We start from the raw sequence: 4,097 nt of genomic DNA on the forward strand, positions 1-4,097 counted from the left end.
TGCCAAAATTTCTTTAGTTTTTTTTTTTTTTATTTCATAACAAAAGATTGTAAGAAATTATTCAGTTTACATGAAGACATTGACTACCACTGGTTATTCAATACACTATCATGCATATAGTGAGAAATTTAAACACATCTGTTATAATCACTCCTATTTTATAGTTTAAAAAAGCAGAAGAGCAATAACGATAGTTGTCTAAAGTCAATAATTGCCTAAAGTCTGTCACAGAGGTTATGGTGAAGCCAAGATTAGAGCTTGAATGCTTCCAAAAAAAGCAATGTTATACTAGATGAAACAGCCTGAACTAAACTAGTATATTTCTACATGTACATCGACACAGTAAGCTTCCTAAAGGTGCAGTCGTTACTGTAAAGCTGGTAGAATGAAATAAGCAAGTATTTCCTAAGAGTTTGTATAAAAATGAATCGCCTCTGGCCAGGCGAGGTGGCTCAAGCCTGTAATTCCAGCACTTTGGGAGGCCGAGGCGGGCGGATCATGAGGTAAAGAGATCGAGACCATTCTGGCCAACATGGCGAAACCCTGTCTCTACTAAAAGTATAAAACTTAGCTGGGCATGGTGGTACTTGCCTGTAGTCCCAGCTACTCGGGAGGCTGAGGCAGGAGAATTGCTTGAACCCGGGAGGTGGAGGTTGCAGTGGTGGGAGATCGCGCCACTGCACTCCAGCCTGGCAACAGAGTGAGACTCCATCTCACAAAAATAAATAAATAAATAAATAAATAAATAAATAAATAAATAAATAAATAAATCACCTCTTTGTTTTTAAAGCACTTTCCACGTGAATGAAATTCTTGAAATTTTCAACAAGCTTATGCCATTGGTTTGATTATTAGCCTTGATTTACACACACGGAAACCAAGTCAATGAGGGTTTAAGTAAAATGTGCCAGGATGCCACCACTGGTAAGTGATTAGAAGAAGAATTTGGAACCAAGAATTTGACTCCAAAGCCTAAACTCTTAACTGTGATGTACTTCACCACCTTTCTAATGACTTATAATTGCTAGTTGTTGGAATGTTACCAAGGGCAAAGGATAACTGTTAATAGGAATCTCCTAGAACTTGACAATGTAAGGACTAGTTTCCCTTACTTTAGAAGCCAATCCCATAATGCAAATAAGAGGTGCAAGTTCTTTTTTCCTTTTTCTTTTCTTTTTTTTTTTTGAGACAAGAGTCTCACTCTGTCGCCCAGGGTGGAGTGCAGTGGCGCAATCTTGGCTCACTGCAACCTACACCTCTGGGGTTCAAGTGATTCTCCTGTCTCAGCTTCCTAAGTAGCTGGGATTACAGGTGCATGCCACCCACTCCTGGCTAATTTTTCATTTTTTTTTAGTAGAGACAGGGTTCCATCATGTTGGCCAGGCTGGTCTCAAACTCCTGACCTCAGGTGACTGGCCTGTCTCAGCCTCCCAAAGTGCTGGGATTACAGGTATGAGCCACTGTGTCTGGCCCACAAGTTCTTTATCATCAATTTTTTTTTTCTTAGATCTAAGAGACATTTTCCTAGGCATTCTAAGTCTCAGCTGTCCAATCTGTAAAATGGGTATAGATGGAATTGCCTTACAAATACATTGGTGTAAACACAAATATATTGGTTTTCAAATTCATGCTTTCCAGTTATTCTGTGTTTGGTATCTTTATGTCACTGCTAAGTTAGATCATCGTTCTTTCTACTTGGGGAGGAGGGGTGCCTTTACCATGACAATCTTCTATTTCTATGATAGGGACCCCAAATTAATATTGTATCCATTAGTACTTTCTACTAGCTTCTAGTAGTAGCTAGAAGTACTAGCTAGTACTTGCTAGTAGTACTAGTAGTGCTGGTAGTGCTAGTAGTACTAGTAGTGCTGGTAGTACTACTAGTAGCTAGTAGAAGACACTAGTTAGTTATACTTCTAGTAGCTACTAGTAGCTGAAATTTTTGTACGCTGAAATGTGAACACCCTCATACATATTGATTCTTTTTCATTCATTGACATCAAGCAATTTGTACCACATAGAAAAGTGTGTTAAAATCTTTTAGGTGAAACACGTATACTATATGAAAAAAAGATATTAAGTAGTCAAAATTAACACAGGTTTATGTATCCAAGCAGAAATCTGACAACTGAGGATTAAAGAAGAAAAAAATCCCGGAATGGGCCTAGGGCAAATCTAACTATCTCTGTTATTTAGATTTTTACTTCCCCAGCCAAATCATGCTTATAATCTATTTAAATTGCATTTTTCTGCACAGTTTTTCATAGTCTTGTGAAGGACTTTTGTTTACACTCAAAATAATACAAGCCATTCAATGGTAAACTGATGAAGGAAACTAACATTCTGGACATTTATAAAATCTATGAAAATCTGTATCAAACTCAGTTAAGCTCTTCCCTAGACTAATAGTTCTCAATCAGGGGTGATTTTGCACCTGGATTGGGGTTCTCCAGAAAGACAGAACCCACAGGATATACGTAGATATACAGGAGGAGATTATGGGAATTAGTTCACATGATGATGAAAACGAAGAAGTCTCACAATATACTGTCTGCAAACTGGAAAACCAAGAAAGCTGCTGGCATAATTCATTCTGAGTCAAAGGCCTCAGAACTAGAGGAGCTGATGATATAACCCCTAGTTATAGGAGTTTCTGAGATGTAAAACACACTTTCTGAAGCATCTGAAACCTCAACTAAAGGCCCAAAAACCAGGGATGAATGTGGGAGCTGCTGATGTCAGTCTTGGAGTCTGCAAGACCTGTCTTCTTGTTCTACTCAAGTGGACCTTCAACAGATTGAAGGATGCCTGCCCACACTGGTGAAGGCAAATCTCTACCTGTTCTGCCAGTTCAAATGCTAATCTCTCCTGGAAACACTCTCCTAGCCACATCCAGAATAATGTTTTGCCAGCAATCTGGGCATCCCTTAGCCCAATCAAGTTGACACATAAAATTAACCATCACAGCATGTCAGAATAGGGAACACTTGGTGATGTCTAGATACATTTTTGGTTGTCACAACTGGGTGGGTGGGTGGTGCTGCTAATATCTAGTGGGTAAAGGTCAGAGATGCTGCTAAACATTCTGCAGGGTACTGGACAGCCCCCACCGCAAAGAAGTATCTGGGCCAAAATGTCAGTTGTGCTGAGATAGAGAAACCTTGGTGTAGACTATTTGTTAGAGCCATTGATAAGGCAACCAGCTAGTGAGAGCCTAACAACCAGAAAGGTTTCTATAGGGCATGTATATTTCATCTCAGCCTCACATTGTTCCATTCCCAAAGCAAAATGTTATGCTCTTCAAAATCTCCAGGGAAGCTAGAAGCATAAAGCTTTGGGTGAAATGTAAATTTCTTAAAATATTTATTCATCCATAAGTGGCTACATTTTTGACATTATTATATGGTTTCTCAGTGTTCCATTTTATTAAAAAATATTTATTTGGTTTCTAAGATTACTGCTTTTCTGACCACAGAAAATTCAATTACTGAAAACTGCAGCTATCAAATTGGTTGAAAATAAATAGCCTTTTATCCAAAGCTGGCAAAGACTGGTTCACTTTTAATATGTAGCCATTAAAAAAAAATAAAAATAAGAAAACATTTCCATTGCAAGCTGATGGACTGCAGAGTCTCAAGCCAAGCAGTATTTTGCATCATCAGGTTTTATTTAAAATAGGATGAGAAAGGAGTGGGGGCAGTTCAAGAAAAGAAGTCATCATCAGAGTAATTTAACATTATTTTTCCTCTTTTGTTTTACAAGACAGAAAAAAAAAGTGAGCCTTTTTGCCAATAGAAATCACTTTCTCCTGCTTTCTCTCTGTCTCGGTTTGAAATGTTTAGTAATATACAGGAAATGTGGTAAGTGGGATCTACAAACGTGGGCTCCCAACATCAAGGCTAATTATGTGCGAAGCAATTGAGATGGCAGCAGAATTGCCAGGGAACTGAAAGGGAGGCTGAACCAGCACGCCTGGGTCTTTCATTGGCTTCATATTTGTGTTTTAATCTCCTGCACAACACGTTTTTTCCCCTTTCTACAAAGAACACATGTCCATGTTTCCTCAGTGAAAACCAATAAACAAACAAAAAGAAGTA

Source organism: Homo sapiens, chromosome 17 (genome assembly GCF_000001405.40).
Source record: "Homo sapiens chromosome 17, GRCh38.p14 Primary Assembly".
NCBI lineage: Eukaryota > Metazoa > Chordata > Mammalia > Primates > Hominidae > Homo > Homo sapiens.